Source organism: Homo sapiens, chromosome 3 (assembly GCF_000001405.40).
Source record: "Homo sapiens chromosome 3, GRCh38.p14 Primary Assembly".
Classification (NCBI taxonomy): Eukaryota; Metazoa; Chordata; class Mammalia; order Primates; family Hominidae; genus Homo; species Homo sapiens.
This window is the reverse complement of record NC_000003.12, coordinates 61,635,916-61,659,500: the sequence shown is the minus strand read 5'-3', so window position 1 is coordinate 61,659,500 and position 23,585 is coordinate 61,635,916. Positions and strand designations below refer to the sequence as shown.

At 41.9% G+C, this 23,585-nt stretch overlaps 1 protein-coding gene across 6 annotated transcripts in view; it reads right to left on the bottom strand.

Annotated features, from left to right (window-relative positions):
- Positions 1-23,585, bottom strand: part of PTPRG (protein tyrosine phosphatase receptor type G) — a 736,039-nt gene that overhangs the window by 638,109 nt on the left and 74,345 nt on the right. The window contains exon 1 of one of the 6 annotated variants that reach the window (XM_047448645.1): positions 7-4,330. The exons of the other annotated variants lie outside the window; for them this stretch is intronic. The gene's annotated coding sequence lies outside the window, so the exon portion shown is untranslated. Of the gene's footprint in view, positions 1-6; positions 4,331-23,585 lie in introns of those variants that run through there. 6 annotated transcript variants of the gene reach the window in all.

Here is a 23,585-nt window from a genome sequence, read left to right as displayed (position 1 = left end):
CCCTACCTTCTCTTCTGACTCTCCTTCCTGGTCACCCCACTGTCTGGACAAACCTGCAAAGGCTTTTTCACTTTTAAGAAGTGTACACAGCCTCATCAAACTATCTTCTTCTCCAGTGAAGCAGAATGCAGTCAGTCAAGAGCTCCCGAAAATTGAACAAGAAAATCCTCAACTGAGCAGCACTGTTTGGACTTGCACCATCAGTGCCTTTGTCGATGAAAGAAAACATACATTGTATATGCCTATATGAAGCCCTGAGAACATCTATTCAGGCTGACGGCTATGGAGCTACAAGAATAAAACCATCAGCATCCTGTCTGATGTTCATCAGGCCATGGCAAAAGGCCCTTAAAAGCAGGGATTACCAAAGGCTTTCAGGCTAGAGGGGCCCCAAGGTGTGTCTGCTAGGTCTTGGGCACTGTCCAAAAAGGGGAACAGGGGCAGGGGCAGGGGCAGGGGCAGGAGAAAACAGCCGAACTCATGCTCCTAGGTAGAAGGCTATCAGCAAAAATTTCCAAAGACTTCCTCCAAAGCAAGCCATGAGAACCAGTGCTACATTCCTGGTCTGAACACAGATTCAGAAGTGAAGTTCCAAGGGCATGGTGGCCAGAATCTATAATGTGTCAAATTTTTACAGGCGTATAACTATGTTTCTACTTGAAGATGGTCTTTTTCTGGCTTTGGCCAAAAAATACGGACCTGGGAGCACTAGATCATGGCCATGAGTGTCTAGCAAACTCATCCTTTCATTCTATAAATACTTCACCTAGTAGGTGCTGGGTGCTGAGACAGAGCAGTGAACAAGACCAATCAAATCCTTAACTCGCAAAGAACTTGTATCCTAGCTGGGAAAATAAACAACAAAACAAGCATACACTTATCTCGGGAATAAATGACAGAAAGAAAACAAGACTTGAAAATAAAAGTGTGATGTGGATGAGATGGGGAGAATAAAACACCAGGGAGCTAAGTTAGACATTAGATCCCTATTTTCAAGATAGAAAAAGGAGCTCAAATTGTTATCTAACTTTCCCAAGGTCACAAAAAATAGATGAGGGCAGAGCTGGTACCTGAACCTGTAGCTATCTGGCTATGGGACCAACCAGGCTCTCCACTGTGACTCCACGTTGCCTCCTCTAACCTTGTACCTGAGATCCTGAGACCTCACCTAGCCACTGTCCTAGGACACCGTCTCATCAGGGACATCTGAATTCATAATGTCCAGCTGCAGTGTGACCAGTCCTGAATCCACAGGCACCGGGTGCCTGCTTGCATCAGGCCAGAACATTCCTATTCTGGCAACTTTCGCAGCCCCTGAGCTTGAAGACAACCAAACCGTCAAATATGTGCCAGAACAATGACCTGAACAGTACATGCAGATTCAATTCCAAATCTAGAAATCAGAGTTAGGTCCTTCCCATTTCATCCCATGGCCTGGAGCTCTTATACTTCCCAAACATTTTCATGGAGTGTGTCTGTCCATAGGGTGGGTGCCCAGTGTGTAGGGAAGCACCATAACCACTGTCCACATGCACACTCATGTCACCCACAGCAGCACAACCAGGGTCACACTGCCACAGCTGCTTAGCAGCCCTCTGTTTAACAAGCAAAGTACAAAGCATCTTCCCCGCTGATGCCTGCTATCGATCAACTTAAGGACAAAGAGAACCAGCTTCCGCAGCACTCTCAGCAGCCATGGGAACAGCTCCCACTTTTTAAGCGTGGGAACTCTAAATGCTCAGTTGTAAATAACTGCTTTAAAGCCTACTGATCCTTTCATTTATCATCAATTGGTTTCATTTTGAGCAAAGAAAGTTGAAGGCATGAGGGACGGCACATACAGGAGACACTAGGGCACAATGAATCCCAAGAAAACAAATCAAAGGCATCATCAATAATTCAGCTACAAGCATGTGCCAGAGTTGAGAACACCTCCTGGGTTCAACTGATCCTCCCTCCTCAGCCTCCTGAGTAGTGGGACTACAGGAGCTCACCATCATGCCCAGCTTATTTTTTTATTTTATTTTGTGTAGAGACGGGGGCTCTTGCTATGTTGCCCAAGCTAGTACCAAACTCCTGGCCTCAAAATGGAGCACCTTGCCTTTGGGAGAACATCAAAAGCAGGATGGTCTCTCTGGTCCTCTCTCATCCCTTCTCCCCCTGAAACTGGTTATAAAACTTAACTGACCTTCCCCTGAAAGTAGGTCATAGTCTCACCCTCATTCTAGAGAGGTCCTCCACATGCCCAGAGGAAAGGAACGTCCTTATTTCTGTGAGACACCAAGAAGAAATTGAACAAAACAAGCCTTGCTGGCTCCCCTCCACCCCCACAGTTTATTACCGGTAGACAATAATACCCCTTTGTCCTCCAATCATACTTTGGCACCACTGTCCATAAAAATACAGTTTTCCCCGTTGCTTTGGGTCTTCATTTCTGAAAACTCCTGTGACACGTAAAACTGATATTCAATAAATATGCTTGCTTTTCTCTTGTTAATCTGTTATGGGGGCCTCAGCCATGAACTTTTTGATGTGTAAGGGAAAGGAATCTTCTCTCCCCTACACAGGTTCTAGAATGTCAGCTCTGTGCAGGCAGGGATTTGTTCACCACTCTATCCTGGGTGCCTGAAACAAAGGGGCCCGGCATATGGCTGGAAGAAAATATCTGGAGAATAAGTAAAAACATTTTTTATAGTAGCCCCAAATCGAAAACAACTAAAGGATGTGAGTCCAGAAAGCAAAGAACAAGAAGCTAAGGAAAATATCTTCAATCTACAAGAATGTTGGACATGACCCAGGCAACCTATCTCCTAAAAAGTAAAATTGACATTCCAGAATCCCAACAGACCCATCAAATGCAATCAGGTAAATGAACTGTTAGAATGCCGAACCAAGAATACGCTTGGAGAAGAAATTCCTAAAAGTTAATTTTAAAAATAATGTTGCCAAAGGGGAATGATTTGCAGTGGTACCAAGTAATTGGCACTGGTAACTCAGACTGTGTCTCTTCTTTGCTCTGGAAATCCACTCATCACAAGAGTATTCCCTTAAAATGCATTCCTGGTTAGGGCTTATTTTATGAAACGGTCAGTTTTTAACTATTCATATGTAAATTGGGGGCTATGGAGGCATTTCCCTACTAAATTTGCTAATCCCTGAGACAGAGACCACTTCTGTGTCACCTCACCTTCTGCATCAAATGAGGGATGCTCACACACTCAGAAGGAAAGAAGCCCTTTCTTGTTTTTCTTATTTATTTATTTTTTTAAGAGACAGGGTCAGGCTCTGTTGCCCAGTCTGGAATACAGTGGTACAATCATAGCTAACTGCAGCTTCAAACTCCTGGGTTCAACTGATCCTCCCTCCTCAGCCTCCTGAGAAGTGGGACTACAGGAGCTCACCACTATGCCCAGCTTATTTTTTCATTTTATTTTCTTTAGAGATGGTCGGGGGGGGGGGGGTCTTGCTATGTTGCCCACGTTGGTATCAAACTCAGGGCCTGAAGCAATCCTCCCACCTCAGCTTCCCACAAAGGGCTAGGATTACAGGTATAAGCCACTGAGTCTGACTCTTTCATGAAGTAAATTACATCTACACTTAAGAGTTAAACAGGCCAGACACAGTTTCACAATTGGTTGGCCAAGACAGGAGAATGGCTTGAGACCAGGAGTTCAAGACCAGTCTAGGCAACATTGGGAGATCCTATATCTACAAAAAAAATTTAAAAATTAGCCAGGCATGATGGCATATGCCTGTTGTCCTGGCTACAGGGAAGGCTGAGGCAGGAGGATCACTTGAGCCCAGGAGTGAGCCAGGAGTGAGCTGTGGTGAGCCGTGATCCTGCCACCACACTCCAAGCTGGGTGACAAAGTAAGACCCTGTTTCTAAAAAAATACAAAGTAAAAGAGCCAAAATATGCAACCACCCATTAGTACAAGTAACTTGAAGATACATATCTTCAAGAAAAAGTTACAACTGAGTATAACTGCCACTCCTTCTTGACTGAGATGTGTCAATTATAATACTCATTTAGTCCATATTTCTGAACATCTACTATGTGCCAGGCAGTATCCTGGGACCATATGATAAAAGAATAAGTGAAACTGATAACAATCCCTGAAGATCTTAATCTACAGGATTAATGAATATCATGAACAGGTCAACAAATAAGTGAAAAACGTAACTTGCAAATGTGGTTAAATGCTGGGAAGACAATAATCAGAGATGAAATAAGGACAAAGAAGAGAGAGGAAATCATACCTATTTCCTGTCATTGAGAGGCAGCACTGTGCCCTTGTACAACTCTGGACAATCTGGCAGGGGACTCGGCGACTCAACCATTCCACCTGCAGGATGACTCACCAGGCAACCAGGACTCCTGCCGCACACCTCAATAAGCTGATAAAGCGCAGGTGGCCGGGTGCGGTGGCTCACGCCTGTAATCCCAGCACTTTGGGAAGCCGAGGTGGGTGGATCACCTGAGGTCAGGAGTTTGAGACCAGCCTGGCCAACATGGTGAAACCCCGTCTCTACTAAAAAAAAAATACAAAAAGTAGCTGGGCATGGTGGTGGGCACCTAAAATCCTAGCTACTCAGGAGGCTGAGGCACAAGAATCTCTTGAACCCGGGAGGCAGAGGTTGCAGTGAGCCGAGATTGCACCACTGCACTCCAGCCTGGGCGACAGAGTGAGACTTTGTCTCAAAAAAAAAAAAAAAAAGAAAAAGCACAGGTAGCCTTCCTTTGTCAGCAGCATAGAAGGTCAACCCATTAAGCCCTGGGCTGCATACAAGAAAGCAGGATAGAATTATATTATAGGCCAGGCATGGTGGCTCACGCCTGTAATCCCAGCACTTTGGGAGGCTGAGGCGGGCGGACTGCCTGAGCTCAGGAGTTCAAGACCAGCCTGGACAACATGACGAAACCTCATCTCTACTAAAAATACAAAAAACTAGCTGAGCATGGTGGCACATGCCTCTAGTCACATCTACTCAGGAGGCTGAGGTATGAGAATTGCTTGAGCCTGGGAGGCGGAGGCTGCAGTCAGCTGAGACTGCACCACTGCACTCTGGCCTGGGGGACAGAGTGAGACCCTGTCTCAAAAAAAGAAAGAAAGAAAAAAGAATGATATCATAAATATATATTCACCTAACAACAGAGCCTCAAAGCATATGAAGCAAAAACTAACAAAATTCCACCTATATCTCCTAAATGTGCTATGAAGACTTGAGAACGCACATCAATTATCTAGCATATGGGTGCAGGGGGTGGCGGGCAGGTGTTGGTTAAAGCACAAGAGCAGCCCCATTCTCTTGAATGACTCCCACATCCCAGACTCCACGGTAAATGCTATTCACACACGATTCATTTCTCACCACAACACTATAAGGCACAAGAGTAAACTGAGGTCCGAAGAGATTAGGTAATTTGTCAAAGTCAAAGTGCCCTGGAAGGGCATGTATCTCATGTTCCCTCTATGCCTCTCAGATGTGGCACTGGGCTTCCCCTGGAGCCATCCATGAAAAACAGGACAAAAAAGACACCTAACAGATGATGTACCTTAATTAGCCTTACATGTTCCCTTACAGTTCCCCGCGCCCCCCACCGCTCCCCGCTTAACAACCTGCACACATGCTGCTTCTAGTAGATTCTGATTCATGCTGATTTCACTAGATAACTGGGAACAGTGTGGGCCAAGGTGAATTCTAATCTCACAGGCGAGCAGATTCTAGAGCCTCCCTTTCATAGAGGCTGGGCCCTTATACAGGAAGAGGTTACCCTGATGAGCAAAGAAAGTTGAAAGGGCAGGGGACAACACATCTGAGAAAATGGCAGGGCACGACGAATCCTAACAAAACAAAGACATATGCAATGATTTAGCTACACATACGCAGCTGGACTGTAAGATCCATGAGGACAGGGATCAGCCTTGTTCACTGTTCTATCCAAGGTACCTGAAGCAGGGGTGCCTGGCATACAGTCTCATGTACATAAATACGTGAGGACTAAAAGCATTATTTAGAACAAAAAAAAAAATGAAAACAAATAAAATGTCCAACATTAAAATGACAGAAAAGTAGACACTGGCCCATTTATGGAGGATCACTATTGCAGCTGCTAAAAATGACAAGGAACAGGAGACAAATATGCCACCCATTATGAACCATGCTGGAAAAAAAAAGGGGGATAATTTAAAGAAATGGGGAAATGTTCACAATATAAAATGAAAAAGTAGATTGCATAACATCAGTCACAGACAGGATGTCTTGACTAACCCTATATGTACAATACGTCTTTCCTATGTGTAATATGTATAGAAAAAAAAAACTATCAGGATGTAGTGACATTAAGTCACATTCATCTCTACATTGTGAGATGATTTTTTAAATTGTCTCTTCTTTTGGCTTATAAGTACTTTTAAAAAAAATTACTTTTCCCTTATCTTATATGTACTTATAAAATGTTCTGCAATGAATACAAATCTGTTGTTTGGCATAATTTCTACCCCCATGATATCTGGTGGTTGTAGTGTAAATCTCCACTCCATAGCATTTTGATACAAAGATTCTGCAGCTGCCAAACAGGCTTCTGACCCTTCACCCAGTGACAAATAGCTGGCAGTTACATTAGAAGAATGGTTCTCTATTAGGGGAGAATCCCCCACTTGCCAGAAGGCATTTGACTACCCCTGGATGTTCCAACTTAGGAGGATGCTAGTGGCATCCAGTGAGTGGAGGCCAGGAATACTACTACACATCCTACAATGCACAGAAGAGCTCCAGCAACACAGAACTATCGGGGCCCAAAAATACCACTAGTGCTAAGGTTGAGAATCCCTGTTTAAAATGAAGAGCCTGAGGATGTATCTTAAATATAAATAAGAAAAGAAACATTAACAACAATATTAAAATATTGTAACTAGAGGAACAAGGTTCTAGAAGGGCAGAGAAGGGGAACATTTGCTCCACTGAATATCCCTTAACCCTAGCCCAGTCCATGACCCAAAGAAAGAGCTCAACAAGTGTCCTGGCCATCAGGGAAAATAGATTGCACCGTAGAGGAAATTCTAATTTCAGAGTCAGGCAGAGGTAAACTTGAAGATCAGCCCTGTCAATGGCTAACACACTCCGCATCTGCAGAATGAGGAATAGAGCACTATTTATTTGATTCTTCATTTTATTTTTTATTTACTTACTTTGAGACGGAGTCTCGCTCTGTCTCCCAGGTTGGAGTGCAGTGGCGATCTGGGCTCGGTGCAACCTCCGCCTCCCAGGTTCAAGCAATTCTCTGCCTCAGCCTCTCAAGTAGCTGGGATTACAGGCATCCACCACCATACCCTGCTAATTTCTGTATTTTTAGTAGAGATGGGGTTTTACCATCTTGGCCAGGCTGGTCTTGAACTCCTGATCTCGTGACCCACCTGCCTCAGCCTCCCAAAATGCTGGGATTACAGGCATAAGCTACTGCGCCTGGCCTACTTTTATATATATATTGAGATGAAGTCTCGCTGTGTAGCCCAGGCTGGAGTGCAGTGGTGTGATCTCTACTCACTACAACCTCAGCCTCCCAGGTTCAAGTGATTCTCCTGCCTCAGCCTCCCGAATAACTGGGACTACAGGTGTGTGTCACCATGCCCGGCTAAGTTTTGTATTTTTAGTAGAGACGGGGTTTCGCCAGGTTGGCCAGGCTGGTCTTAAATTCCTGACCTCAAGTGATCCACCTACCTCGGCCTCCCAAAGTGCTGGGATTCCAGGCGTGAGCCACCACACCTGGCTATTTGATTCTTACATGACTTACATGGATCAATATATATAAAGCTTCTGACACTCTCCAAGGTACACCAGAGGTGCAGTATTCACTGGTGGCCTACAAAGTAACACCCAGAAAACTTCCAACATGGTGCACGGAAATTGCTTAGCTTCAAGCTCAACACCAATGAATCCAGGTCAATTCCCACATGGACCCATTATCATCTTCTAAAGAAATCTGTGTCTCATGAACTAAGTCTAGCCCTAAGGCTTCATCAGGCCCGTTCAGGATAAACAACCACTAGTCATGAGCAACTGTGTGAGCATATAAATCAATGGCTGCTATCATCTATCACTAGTATTTTCTTGTGAAACTTAAAAAAAAAAAAGATTATTAACAATGGGACAAAATGTCAACGACAACTTTTTTCTTTAAGTAGAGATCCAAAGGGATAAGATTACCTCTGCTCAGACTGAAATCAATACACAAGAACTTAATCAACTAAACCCTACCAAGATACCAGATGGTCTCTTAAGTATTTTGGGATTTTTATCTTACAGCCAACACACCCATCTGGTAGTATATAGAAATTATGTTTTTCCTTTAAAAAAAAAAAAAAGAGAAAGAGTGTCCAAATACATCGTGTAATTGAGGTTGATGAACAGGGTTCTAGAAGTGTAGGCAATGAGGAAAAAAATATAAACATACACACAGATAAATGTGTAATTTATCGGAGCCATTAGAGTCAGCAGAGTCATATAAACTTTTACTAGACAACTCCACAGCAAAAAATATAGGTTCAAATTGCTGAATCATTGTTCACATGTAAATAGGATTCCTAAAACTTTTATTGGTAGTAAAAATTAGTTTACATCATAAAGTAAACAAGAAAAGCAAGCTATAAAACCAAACAGTGGTAAAAGACCCTCAAATGACACATTTCACCAAAAAACTCATTTTGCAAATCGAGAGTTAAACAATTAAGTGTTTGAAAATGCTTACATTTGAAAATGAAAACCATCACATTAATAAATTTTAAGATAAAAGTTGACTGTGCGTTTGATGAGGAAGTGTGTATTTGATTAAATCTTCACACTAGTGTTAGGAAACATTTATTCCATGGAAAAGAGCACTCTGGTTAGAAACACATGGGCTCAAACACAAAACTTCTTTCTTACTCAGTTATCATCCTGAGGTCTACGGTCTTCCCTGTGAAAACCGCAGGCACATCCAATGGTTGGATAACTATTGCATCCTAATAAAATCAGGTGCCAAGTTTCCCTTCTCCTGGCCGGGACTCAATCTCTTATGAGCTCTTTTTTGGCTGCTTCTCAACAGTTTTGTGCGGAACTCGTCACTGTGTTCTTCGAACATGAGTCTCATTCCACAAAAATCTTGTACTACACATTCCCACTGGTGTTCCTAGGTGAGTGGCAATGGTAGATTCTGTAATACCTCGCTGGCATTCAACATTTTTAGGATCAAGGTACATGGTGCCCCCACCCTTGGCTTCCTTGATTTGGTTTTGTAACCCTTATGTATTAAAAGATAATTTCTCAGCAGCCGTGTACAGCTCTGGTTTTCACACATTCAATATGTATCACTGCATTTGTACAGGGGAAAAAAAGTACCAGGCTTTTTAATCCCTGGTGCTTATGGGTTTTATTTTTCCTTCTGGGAAGAAAAGGTGGAAGAATTAAGGACAAGGAGAAATCGAGAGAAACCAGAGACTCCCCTTATTAGGTTTAGCAGTAAAACTCAGTGCCCTGTTTATTAGGACCTTCAGGCTACCATTTGTAAAAGATGTTCTTGATGGTCTGCTTTCCACCAGCAGATTATAGCAAGTCTGTTGAAATAATGAGCTCAGGGACATAAGGCAGGATTCAAACCCCAAACCAAGGCTTTACCAATTTCAAGCCCTGTCATCAGCCACATGATCTTGAGCAAGTAACTAAAACTTTAAGTGTCAGTCTGTGCATCTATACGACAACCTATTTCTAAGAGGAGCCAATGTAATATAAGCAAAGTGCCTTGCATTATACTCAACACAATAAATCCAAGTTGTCATATTATGCTGATTTAGCCCTGCTGTGATTTGAAGCCTGCATGTCTCCTCCAAAACGTAGGTGTTGTCAATGTGATGGTATTAAGAATCGGGATCTTTACGAGGCAATTAGGCCATGATGGCTCCTCCCTTGTTAATGAGATTAAGAACCATATAAAAGAGTCTTCAGATAGTGTTTGGTTCACTTGTTTTTCCACTTCTGCATGAGAGGTCACAGCATATCTTCCTTAGAGGATGCATCAATAAGGTGCCACCTTGGAAGCAGAGAAAAACCCTCACCAGACAGCTGAACCTGCTGGCACCTAAATCTTGGACTTCCCAGCCTCCAGAACTGTGAGAAATAAATTTATATTGTTTATAAATTACCAAAGCCAGGCACAGGGGCTCATGCCTGTAATCCTAGTACTTTAGCAGGCTGAGGTGGGAGGATCACTTGAGCCCAGGAGTTCAGGACCAGCCTAGGCAATACTGTAAGACCTCATCTCTTAAAAGAAAATAGAAAAAGGAAGGAAGGAGGGAGGGAAAGAAGGGAGGGAGGGAAGTGAAAAGGGAAAAGGGAGGGAGGGAGGGAGGAAGTAAAATAAATTAACCAGTCTCCGGCATACTCGTGTAACAATGAAAAACAAACTTAGACAAACCCAAAGTTAACACTAGGTTTTTTAACCTTGGTAATAAACTCACATATGACTGTTCTTTGACACTGCTATACTATATGAAACGTCTATTTGCTTCTTCACTTTTGGATTTCCTGAGACAGCTCAAGGAAAAGGCATTATTTTTTCATGTAAATAAATAATTGCTTCAACAAAGATCAGAATCTTTAAAGTGGAGATTGCCTCACCAGCAGCCCCCAACCCTCATTACTTTTCTTATTTGGAGTTTGAAATATACACGGAGCACAGAAAACATTCTCTTGGGAAACATTCAAGCAACATGCCATTATTCTTCCAATACAAGGTAATAGAACCTAATAGAAAAATGTCTGCCCTCTCTCTCTGACTGTATTACAGATGGCAGCCAAATGAGTGTGTGTTCTGCAGCAGAAAGCCTGGGAAGTGCAGGCATTAGACGTTCCCTTGGTGCATCAGCCTGGGGTCACCCCACTCAAACACCCTGCATTTAGCTGCCAACAAAAAATGAAATGCCTTTGTCTCAGGACAGAGGAACTGAGGTATTTCAAGATGTGTAATTCCAAAAGAAAACCTCTCTTTTGCTGCCCAGTTTTCATTTCCCCTCGGGTGAAAATGTGTAGCCTGGTAGGAGCAAGCTAGGTGTCTTCCACCTGGATCCTTGGTGCCTATGTGTGAAACACAGGAAGGCATTCAAGGCAGGAAAGAATGGGGTCCTGGAGGGATGCCAGGGAATCCGCAGAAGTTAGGTGCTGCTAAGTCCAACTAAGATGCAGTCATGAGACCTTATGAATGAAACAAGGATTGCCTGGGTAACGAATGGACAACTATGTTAACGAATCTCCTAATATGTTATTTTAATCTCAGAGTGTCTTCATCACCATGGGGGTCCACAACACCCTGCAGTAGTCTCCTTTACTAATTCCACTGTCAGGATATTCTCAGGTGACAATGCATAGGACTGGTTTAATCAAACATGAAGCCTCCACTTATCATGAAGTTGCAGCCTGTCTTGGGCTTCAGGCATATCAAAAGCAAGACAGAAAAATAAAACCCAAGAGGACAGAGGATTCACGGATGGGTACAAGGGAGTGTCAGTAGATAGACAAGCCATAACGGGCCTCACAGGCCGCAATCACAATCAGGACACTTCGTAAGGGAACATCTCAAGGCATCAAGGGCACCAAACATTCAGTGGTTTCAGAAAAGCAGCACCAGCTCCAAGGTCAGAGTTTGAATTGCTAACTCTTTTTTTTTTTTTTTTTTTTGAGACGGAGTCTCACTCTGTCACCCAGGCTGGAGTGCAGTGGTGTGATCTCAGCTCACTGCAAGCTCCGCCTCCCAGGTTCACACCATTCTTCTGCCTCAGCCTCCCAAGTAGCTGGGACTACAGGTGCCTGCCACCACGCCCGGCTAATTTTTTTGTATTTTTTAGTGGAGACGGGGTTTCACTGTGTTAGCCAGGATGGTCTCGATCTCCTGACTTCGTGATCCGCCCGCCTCGGCCTCCCAAAGTGCTGGGATTACAGGCGTGAGCCACTGTGCCCGGCCAATTGATAACTTTTAATGAGCTGGATGAACCTGAACAATTACAGGATCATCTAGCTCATTAATCGCACATACCATGTGGCTCAGTTTCCTTCTTTAGAGAAACAATGGTATTGACCCTCCTTTGGGGAGTTGTTATGAGGCTTAAATTAGATAGTATGTGTATGGTGCTTAGTATAATATCTGGCATGTAAGAAAACTGCAATTCCTCTTTTGTTTAAAAATTAATCCAGATAATGGTGTGAAAGACGGTAAAATGAAAGACAGGAAGAGCTGTTCAAACACTGCCAATTCCAGTTATCACGTGCTTAGTAAAGGAGAATAGTCTGGCAGTTTCCCATAAAACTAAATATGTACTTACTATACGACCCAGCAATGGCACCCTTGAGCATTTATCTCAGAGAAATAAAAACTTAGGTTCACTCAAAAACTATGTACACAAATGTTCATAAGCAGCTTTATTTGTAATAGCCCCAAACTAGGAAAAGCCCAGATGTTCTTCAACAGATGAACGGATAAACAAACTGCCACATCCCTACCATGGAATACTGCTCAGGAATAAAAAGGAACAAACAACTTGGATGGGTCTGGGGAGCTACACTGAGTAAAGCAAGCCAGCACCAAAAGGTTATGTACCGTATGATTTCCTTTATATAATGACATTCTCGAAATAACAATGGGTTAGTAATTGCTAGAGGTTAGGGATGTGGGGGTGGCTATCAAGGGGTAGCATATGAGATCTTTGCAGTGATGGAACTGTCCTGTATCTAGATTGTGATGCTGGTCACACAAATCTACACATATGAAAAAAATGCATAAAACTATACATACACATACACACCACAAACACCACTGAGTAAATACAAATAAGTGCATGTTAAACTGGTGAAATCTGAATAAAGTCTGTGAATTGATAATGTCAGTTTCTTGGTTTTGATATTACACTATAAGTATATAGAATGCATCATTGGGGGAGGCTGGGGAAAGGGTACAAAGAACTCCTCTAGGGGAATAATGTTTTGAATGGGAGCATTTCTAGATGTGTAATTCCAGAAGAGTTTTGGACAAAGAAGGCAGTTCAATTAAGAATTAGATGATCTGGCCAGGAGCGGTGGCTCATGCCTTTGATCCCAGGACTTTGGGAGGCCAAGGCAGGCGTTATCACTTGAGCTCAGAAGTTCGAGACCAGCCTGGACAACATGGCAAAACCTCTTCTCTACCAAAAATACACAAAATTAGCCAAGCGTGGTGGCGTGGTGGGACCCATGGTCCCAGCTACTCTGGAGGCTGAGGTGGGAGGATTGCTTCAGTTCAGGAGGTGGAGGTGGCAGTGAGCCAAGACTGCGCCACTGCACTCCAGCCTGGGTGACAGAGTGAGACCCCATCTCAAAAAAATAAAAAAAGATGATCTACTGCAGAGAATCAAAAACAAACCATATTTTATCCAAAAGAGTTACTCTCTCTGAATGGAGGAGTCCTTATTTGTGTCTGTATAAAGCAGGTAAGATTTTATGGCCTCTGCACATAGTAAGTTAGATTATGAAGTCTGGAAATAGGAATGAATACCCTAGTGGCAAGGAAAATAAACCAAGTCTACCTGATCTAAGAAACAGAATTTACTGAAAGTTTTGGGTAGCTCAGCTCCCAGGATCACTGGTTAGGCTAGATCTGGTATTGGCAAACTACAGTCAAATCAGGCAACTGCCTGTTATTGTACATAAAGTTTTGCTGGAACACATCCATGCTCATTTGCTCACATATTGTCTATGGCTGCTTTCACAACACCACAACAAAGATCAATAATTCCAACAAAGATTGTATGGTCCATAGGATCTAAAGCATCTACTATCAGGCCCTTTAGAGAAAAAATTTGCCAACCCGTGGGCTAGATAATGGAGCTCAGGAACTAGCCCCGTTAAGGCAACGAGGCTTCTCTACCACCACTGCTATTCTTGTCAACAGGATGTTGTAGCAACTGGCAAAATGTCTTTTCTTCTGTCTGTGTTGGCAAAACTAGCAGTAAATCCAAAGTCTGGGACAGATGCATGTGATTGGTGGAGCCCGGGTCACATGCCCACACACTAGCTGCAAGGGAGGCTGGAAACCTGAACCTCAGACAGTCTCTGGATCCCACCAGGAATCATCTATCAGTTAAGGCCAAAACCTAGAAAGGAGTTCCAAACAACAGGTGGGCAAACACACAGCATAGAAAAGGAATGCGGGGTGTGGACAAAGCTATTAATCACAACCCAACTGGGAGAGCTTTTATTTTCTGTGGCTAAATGCAAACACTGGGTTTTTGGCCAGCTTGACCAGTAACAAACAGGTGTTAATCATTGTCAATATTTGGTAACTCTGGCCTTCTATTTGTTTACTTTCATCTTCAGTTTTCCCTTCTACCTTTTATATTATATTTTTAACCCTGGGTTGGAAATACTGAGATTTTTTTAATGTTCTTAGTGGGAGAAGGAAAAGCAATATCCAAGATCAGGAGCCTCTTCAATTGTGTGCATTTATGAAGCTAATTTTAAAAGACAAAGCAAACCAAGCAGCTCTAATGTCCTAACAACTTTCCAGCAGCAAATGGGTTATGTCGACCATAAAGCAACACCTTCTTTTCTTGTTGGATTTGACTTTAAGACAAATGAGTGTATTGCCTGTTCCAAATAGGAGGCACAAAGTTCCAGCAATCTAAAGCTTACAAGCAACTAGAGACAGAAAGGGGAGAGTGTAGCCTTTCAATGATTATCTCATTAAAACCCTTCTTCTAAATTTAACAGGATTCTATAAATCTTAGAAACCATGGATCACATTCCTAGTATCCTAACCTGGTATCCAGGCTTTCTAACTCAATGATTTCTTCCAGTTAACAAAAGCCAAACTAGTCCTATTTCGGATAGAGATGGAACAAAAAGGGGGCAGTGGGGGCGTGTGTGCACAAATACGAGATGCGTATCCTTAGTGATGGAGCTAAGACTTGCAAGATCCAAGTTCAAAGCCCTTCCAAACCAGTTATCTCCCAAAATATACCAAAAACCCACTGGGCTTCAGAATCACTTCTGAATTCCCTTGAGCAGCTTTAAATTCTCCCCTGGGATTAATGTTAGTTCTTCCATCTCCCGAGAGATGAAACACTATCATCACACACAGGCCACCCCCTCTTTGGAAAACGGTACATGCAATTTTTACTTATGGGAAGTCACATCAGTTTCACAGTAAGTTTTCACAAGGCATAAAAAAATAAAATAAGACTTGTGAGAAATGATATTCAAAACCTAAAGCTCCAAAGTTAACTTTGGCACATCTGCCAAAAATGATTTTCCAAAGCTGAAAAGACAGAGGCCTGACACAGTAGGTGACACTTCTTTATCACTCCAAGAACTCCAGGGCACATAATTAGCACCCAATTAGTTATTAATAACTTAATATTCACACATCTGCTGAAACTCTGTAGGTGCACTGTATAATTTAAATGTGATTGTGATCGTCTCTGTTAGGGTAGGGGCTGTGTACATAATGGATTTGGTTCCACAGAGCAGGAAGGAGGACAAACTTGGAAGCCTCACCTGTTCCTTCCTACAAGGTGCAAATGGTCAACTCAGAATGAAAAGGGTATCCTAGTTCATCTATAAGAATCCAATTAAACTTAAATATTATATCATCAAACTGACCATTCAATAAGCATTTGCTGACTGTCCTCTATATACATTCACTGTGTTACAGTGGGTGCTTTTTTGTTTTTTTTTTTGAGACAGAGTCTCATTCTGTTACCCAGGCTGGAGTGCACTGGTGCAATTTCAGCTCACCTGCAACCTCTACCTCCCTGGTTAGAGCAATTCTCCTGTCTGGGATTACAGGCGTGCGCCACCATTCCCAGCTAATTTTTGTATTTTTAGTAGAGATGGGGGTTTCATCATGTTGGCCAGGCTGGTCTCGAACTCCTGACCTCAAGTGATTCACCGCCTCGGCCTCCCAAAGTGCTGGCATTACAGGCATGAGCCACCGCGCCCAGCCAATAGGTGCTTTTAAAATAAAAACACAAAGTTATTATTGGACCTAGAAAAATTTAACAACTCTCCCCTAATTTTGCCCCATTTCCAATCAGGGTTCAAATCTCCAAATGCCCAGATTTTACTAGTTAATTCATTTGAATTGGGATCTAAATAAGGTACATATGGAGATCAGTTGGTATGTCTGTCTCTGTCTGTCTGTCTCTGTCTCTCTCTCTCTCTCTTTCTCTCTCTCTCTCTCCCCAGATGGGGTCTTGCTATGTTTCCCAGGCTAGAAATGAACTTGTGGGGTCAAGCAATCTTCCCTTTTCAGCCGCCCAGGTAGCTGAGACTACAGACTTTCATGGATATGTCTCAAATTCTTTAATCTGTAGGTTTTCCATTCCATCATTTTTTCCTTTCTTGTAATTTATTTGTTAAAGAAAGCAGACCTTTGGTCAGTCTGGAATAGGCCAATGGTATCCCTAACAACATTGTTTTACCATGTTTTCGTGTCCTCTGTAGTTACTGTAAATTGTTACTTGAACAGATCAGCTGTATTTGTTTTTATAAGACTACTTCCTTGGAGGTAAAGTATTCTACTGTCAGGGGCAAACAACAGCTTATTGTCTCTGGAGGATATTACCAAGTGTCGATGTCTCATGCCCAGATCCATCAATTCATTGATGGGCTGCAAAATGGCAATTGTCTATTTCCATCACTCCATCAACTTCCCCTCATCTATGACTTAGTTACCCAGTATTAAAAGCCAGTCTGAATTTTAAAAATACAGACACTAAGCTTCTACCACATATAGCATGATCAGAAGCCATAACCAAAAGCTTCATTTCCAAGTCAAATCCGGGTTTTAAGGGGCTCCCCAAAGAGTGTAGATAGACAAACTTGAGTCAATGTCCATTCACTACAAAGGGCAGTAAGGAGAACAGGTGGAGTCTGCAGAGAACTCTGGCCTCCCTTTCACTCTGCGGTGCCAGGGGCAAAATGCAGACCTCTTCTGGGTATTGTGGGTCCAGTCACCAGCTTGTAGAACCAGATCACTCTTCAGTTGCTTTCCCAGAATTATCTGAGGACACTAAGCTGCTCTCCAAACCTGAATCAAGCATCTATCACCAGAACAGAAGATCTCAAGAGGCTGGCCAAGAAAGGTCCTCGCATATGAGCAGCAAAGCAGAGCAAAATAACAAACTGTACTTGAGAAAAATAGAACCAACAGCCTGAACTCAACTGAATGATGGCTTTACAAACTGCAAGGCTGACGGCCCCAAGGAGAGAGAGGCATACGCCACAGCCCGGGGTCAGGGCCCGTGGCTAGTGGGCAGCTCTGTGGCTGAGAAAAATGGCCAGAGGAACCAATTTAATAACTCGGGGTCAGCATCAGGGCTTCTGCCTTAGTCCTTTGATTTTTACAAACTAACAATCCAGGCGAGTGGGCAACACAAAAACAACTCTGCAGGTGAGCCCTGCAGCGGCCTTGCGGGCAACGGCACCAGGTTTCTCTCTGGGCTTCCAGATGAGGAGGCTGGGGGGTGCCCTCCATATAACCAACAAGGTCTCCTCAGAAGGCATTCATTAGCTAAATGTGCACCAGCCCACAGGAAAGGCACCCAGGCCATTAAATATAAATGCAAAACAAAATTAGACCCATCCATCCTTAAACCTCAGCAAGCAAGGTTTACTTCCTGCTTTGCAATTTTTCTAAAAGGCACTGAAATGATAGCCCATGTCCGTGCTTCTAGATTTGGGCCCACTCCTTCCAAATCAACCACAGAAATTGATTTTTTAAAATCAGATTTCATGAAGACATCTGTTGACACTACTAAACCTGGATTAGGTTTCTATATATGTAATGATGACCCATCTTTTAAACAGAACCGCAAGCCCATCTGTAGTGGGACAAAACACAAAAGCCGATAACCTTAAATGAATTGGAAACATTTACCTAAATGAGAGTCAGAACTAACTCGGTGATTCTTCCTTAAAAACATATCAGTAAAATGGGTGGCATGGAGAGAAGGCAAGGAGAAATACACATGTGAAAACTTTCTCTCCCCCAAGTTAATAAAAATAATTATTGCTTAACAAACTACTCACTATTCCTGCAGTCCACAGGATAACCATGTGCTGGGCGTCTTGCCCTCCCGAGATTTCCACTTTGTTCCCCAATAGAAACATCCCATAAGGACAGGGACTTCATCTGTTTCCATTCACTGCTGCATCCCCAGAGCCAAGAACAATGCTTGATGGTGGGTATTCTATATATATTTCAGGGAGGGAGGGGGAGGAAATCTGGAGAGAGGAGGAGGAAGGAACGGTGGAGGGGGAGGTAGGAATTTTATTTGTTTCACTAGAACTGAGAGTATTTAAGAGCTAACAGGCTACTCCAAGGAGTTGATGATCAAAGAGTCAAGCTTCAGATTATTCTCTGTAAATATGCCTCTAGTTGCATGTAGTTAGAAGATAACCTGCCTGGACATCTTCTAGCCGAAGCTCGAAGAATCTTCTCCTGATCTCCTCCTATCTCCACACCAAGTTCCTCAGAGGCACCTCAAACAGCAAGGGGCACCATGCAATCCAACAGTTTCTCTTCTGATGGGCAAACACCTTCCCACTTAAAACACTGAGGGAAGAGAAAAGAAACTCTAAAGGCTGTGGCCCTGTACTCCAGATCCATTATATTCAGAAAGTGATCCAAGAAGAAACCAGAAGTAGAAACGTGAAATATCCAAAAGCAAGTGGATCTTGATTAAATTACTACATTGCCTTTTAAATAACTGCAGTTTGTGTTAGACTTCGTTTCTTTAAACCTGAAAGTCCATTTTGCATCATGAAAAGGGTGAAGACTGCTTAATGGCAACCATTAGACTCTGATCAGACAGCTCAGACCCTTGCTAGCCACAAGGCTTTTAAAACAGCTAACATCTTTCCTTTAAGACATTTGCTTCATCTGTTAAATGGGATAAGAGTACCTCCCTTTTGGGGTCTTACGGGGATTAAATATGGTAATGTGCAAAAAGCACCTGGTATAGAGCCTGATCCTTGGTTTATGTTCTACAAGTTGTGTTCATCAGGAGAAAGAAGAGGAGGAGGAGGAGGAGGATCAACACATATACACTGGAGAGAAAGCCCATTTTAGTGTTGGAAATGGCCCCAGGTGTATACCCCAGGACCTACTCTGATCTCTCCAGAGGGCGGCTTTCATTTTGGGAAAAGACTGATTGTTGTCTGTTCTTTGCCCATCAACTACATTTCTCCCTTAAGGATGCTATGAATTTTCATGTTCACATAAAGCACTCAATCAGGAAACCAAGCTGTCAATCATGGACAATGGGCAGGACTCTTAAGAGGGTAGATCAAGAAAGGAAAATATCTGGCTGGTAAGAGTTTAAAGCAAGAGGCAAAGCAGTGAAAGTCTCCAGTGGAATGCAAACCCAGTTAAAGAGAAACGTAGTGTCTGTAATGCTTTCAAAGGTATATACCACTCCATACTTAGTATGTGTTGAGTTTTTATTGAATGAAAAACAGAATAGGAAAAAGACAGGGACACCCACTTTCAACACTCCTATTCAATATAGTACTGAAAGTCCTAGCCAGAACAATCAGGTAAGAGAAAGAAAGAAAAGGCATCCAAATAGGAAAAGAAGTCAAACTATCTCTCTTCACTGATATGACTGTATAACTAGAAAACCCTAAAGACAAACGCTCCTGGAACTGATAAACAACTTCAGTATGAAGTTTCGAGATACAAAATTAATGTATAAAAACCAGTAGCATTTCTATAGACCAATAATGTTCAAGCTGACAGCCAAATCAAGAACGCAATCACATTTACAATAGCCACAAAAAAGAATAAAATACCTAGGAATACATCTAATCAAGCAGGTGAAAGATTGCTACAAGAAGTACGAAATACTGCTGAAAAAAATCACAAATGACACAAACAAATGGAAAAACCTCCCATGCTCATGGATTGGAAGAATCAATATCGTTAAAACAACCATATTGCCCAAAGCAATGTACAGATTTAACACTATTCCTATCAAACTACCAATATCATTTTTCACAAAATTAAAACAAAAACTATTCTAAAATTCATATGGAACCAAAAAAGATCCCGAATAGCCAAAGCAATCTTAAGCAAAAAGAACACAGTTAGATGCATCACATTACTTAATTTTAAACTATGCTATAAGGCTACAGTGACGAAAACAGCATGGTACTATTACAAAAACCAACACATACACCAATGGAACAGAATGGAGAACCCAGAAATAAAGCCATACATTGATAGCCATCTGATCTTCAACAAAGTCCACAAAAATAAACAATAGGGAAAGGATTATCTATTCAATTAATGATACTGGGATAACTGGCTAGCCATATGCAGCGGAATGAAAGTGAACACCTCCCTTTCACCACATATGAAAATTAAGATGGATTAAAGATTTAAATGTAAGATCAGGAACTATAAGAATCCTAGAAGAAAACCTAGGAAACACCATTATAAACATCAGCCTTGGAAAAGAATTTATGACTAAGTCCTCAAAAGCAATTGCAATAAAAACAAATACAGACAACTGGACCTAATTAAACTAAAGGGCTCTGCACAGCAAAAGAAAAATATCAGCAGAGTAAACAGACAACCTTCAGAATGGGAGACAATATTTGCAAATATGCATCTGACCAATATCTAATATCCAGAATCTATAAGGAATTTAAACAACTGAACAAGCAAAAAACAACCTTATTAAAAAGTAGGCATGGCAAGGCTGGGCACGGTGGCTCACGCCTGTAATCCCAGCACTTTGGGAGGTCAAGGCAGGCAGATCACTTGAGGCTAGGAGTTCAAGACTAGCCTGTTCAACATAGGGAAATCCCTCTACCCCAAAAAAAAAAAAAAAAAAAAAAAAAAACTAGCCAGGCATGGTGGTGTGTGCCTGTAGTCCCAGCTACTTGGGAAGATTTTTTTTTTCAATTCTATGATAATCTAAAAATAAAATATTCCCATTTATGAACAACAAGCCAGGCAAGAACCCTGATAACTGGCAATCAAAAGAGACTTGCATGTAAACCTTAGGTTTACCTTATGTTTGTTGGGTTTGGTACAATTCACAGGGTTCTTGCAAGGTGCTTTCCCCTTTGAAAAGGGGTCTACACATTACTTAAATGGAGAGATGCTGCTCTACAGCAAGGTCCTGAAATTCTGCTTAACATAACAGGAAAAAAAAAACTACATACAAATATTAAATATCCTTCTAGTGGGTGCTCTTAAATACTAAAAAGAAAAAAATCAGTGTCATTTCTATATCAGCATCTGAAGAGAATTAGCAAGAAGCCTTTTTGGTTTTTATAAGGCCACTTGGGAATACCTGCAAATAATAACTTTGTACCACGATTTGGAAAACAGCAGTTGAAGAGTTAACAAGTCTAAGGACAACAGACTCCTTTTTAAAAGATAACCAAGAATTTTTTTTGTAATTACGTCCTTAAAATTCCAAAAGTGAGTCACAGTTCCAAGTGATAAGTGGAATCCGATTATCATGCTAAGATTACACACAGTTCTCTTAACGAGATCCAGTCTGAATAAATAATAATTCACAGACATGAATGGTAAGATGGCTATGCTCATCTCTCAACATATCACTCACTTGGTCGGTGAGGTTCTCAAAGGGCTGGGCTGGGTTTGTAGGCAGGAGTTTCCTGGGCAGCAGAGTTTAAATGTGACTGATATCTCTGTTTCTGGTGCATGGCCAACAACGATAAACACACACACACAAATCCACAGTTGGCAACACTGGTGAGGACAGAGGCGTGGAAGCAATGCGACGCAACCCCGGTGGACTCCTAAGAAGTCTACAGTTCCCGCAGGTGTGTGCTCCGGCATCACAAACAACTTCGCTTCCGTCTGAAACTGAAACCTGAAGGGAACAAGCCTTGGAAGGAACAGAAAGCGTTCTGCTTGATCTGCACAGTCTCAGTTTTGACATTCAGAAAGCCACAGAAAGTTCTCTGGCCTCTGTTTTCATCCTTGAAATCCAGCCCTTACCAACATGCCCAGCACATGATGGTGTATTGTGGGGACTGCTTCACTCAGTCCTCTCAAAAACCTTATGAGGTTAAGTCCTTCTACTATCCGCATTATCCAGATGAGAAAATTACCCAAGTTAACCTTCAAGTCATTTGCCAAAGGTCATTCTGATAATAAGTGGGACAAGAGCCAGAATTCAAATTGTAGTCTGAGCTGCTGGATGTCACAACTAACTACCTGACCAGAGATAGGCAACTGACATGAATAATTCCATAATGCCAGGACATCTTAGTTCTGGTACAAACATAAGGATTTTTAGAATTGAAAATATTGCATATGAATATAAAAATGTGTTAGTCCGCCAACTCCACACAGAACAATGGCTAAGAGAAGACTCTCTTTCCTCCACAGCAATAAGCTATGTGGCAGAGAGGCCACACCACTCAGCAATCAGTATACTGATCACTGACATGGATGAGGACAGAGAATGGAGATTTAACCAATTGGCATAGTACCCAAGGTTGAAATGAACAAATCATATGATCAATCAAAGAATCAAAATTTCAAACTTCCAGCAAGGCGGAACCAGACTAATACCAACAGTATGAGATTTTACCAAGTAAAATACTACATGAGATTAATCAAAAAATCATCACAGTGCAGGAGCAGACAGAGCAGTGTTTCATACAAAAAAAAAGCATTTGAAACAAATGTTTAGATCAGCACTATTCATGATAGTCAAAAGTGGAAACTACCCAAATACCCATAAAGAAATGAGAGTATAAACAAAATGTGGTATATCCATAGAGTGGACTTTTATTTGTCCATAAAATAAATGAAGTATTGATACAACAAGGCTGGGCGTGGTGGCTCACGCCTGTAATCCCAGCACTTTGGGAAGCCAAGGCAGGCAGATCACTTGAGGCCGGGAGTTCGAGACCAGCCTGACCAACATGGTGAAACCCAGTCTCTACTAAAAATACAACAAAAAAAGTACTGATACAACAAGATAGATGAACCTTGAAAATATTTTGCTAAGTGAAAGAAGTCAGACACAAAAGGCCACCTATTAAATGAAATGTCCAGAATAGGCGAATTTATAAGATAGTAATTAGTAGATGCTTAGGGCTGGAGGTGTTTAACGAAAATAGGTAACTGCTAATGGGTATAAGGTTTCTTTCGGGTATAATAAAAATGTTCTAAAATAAGATCATTATACAACTCTTTGAATATATGCAAAATACTTTAAATGAGTAAACTGTATACTATATGAATTCTATCTCAATAAAGCTGTCACCAAAAGGGAAAAAAAGCAACTGGAGCATTTAGTTGTCTGTGTGTTTTCAGACAGCAATATACAGTACTTTAGACGATAGGAAAGCTAAACTGACCTTCAGGATAGCTCAAATTTAGGAAGAATTTATGCAAGAATGAAAAATGTTGTCACCATGAAGTGGTGAGCTCTCCAGTTATTAGAAGCATTCAAGCAGAGGCTATCTAACTGTTGGTCAAGAACACTACTAATTTCACAGATTCTTGGGATTTGGAAAATAAAACACAC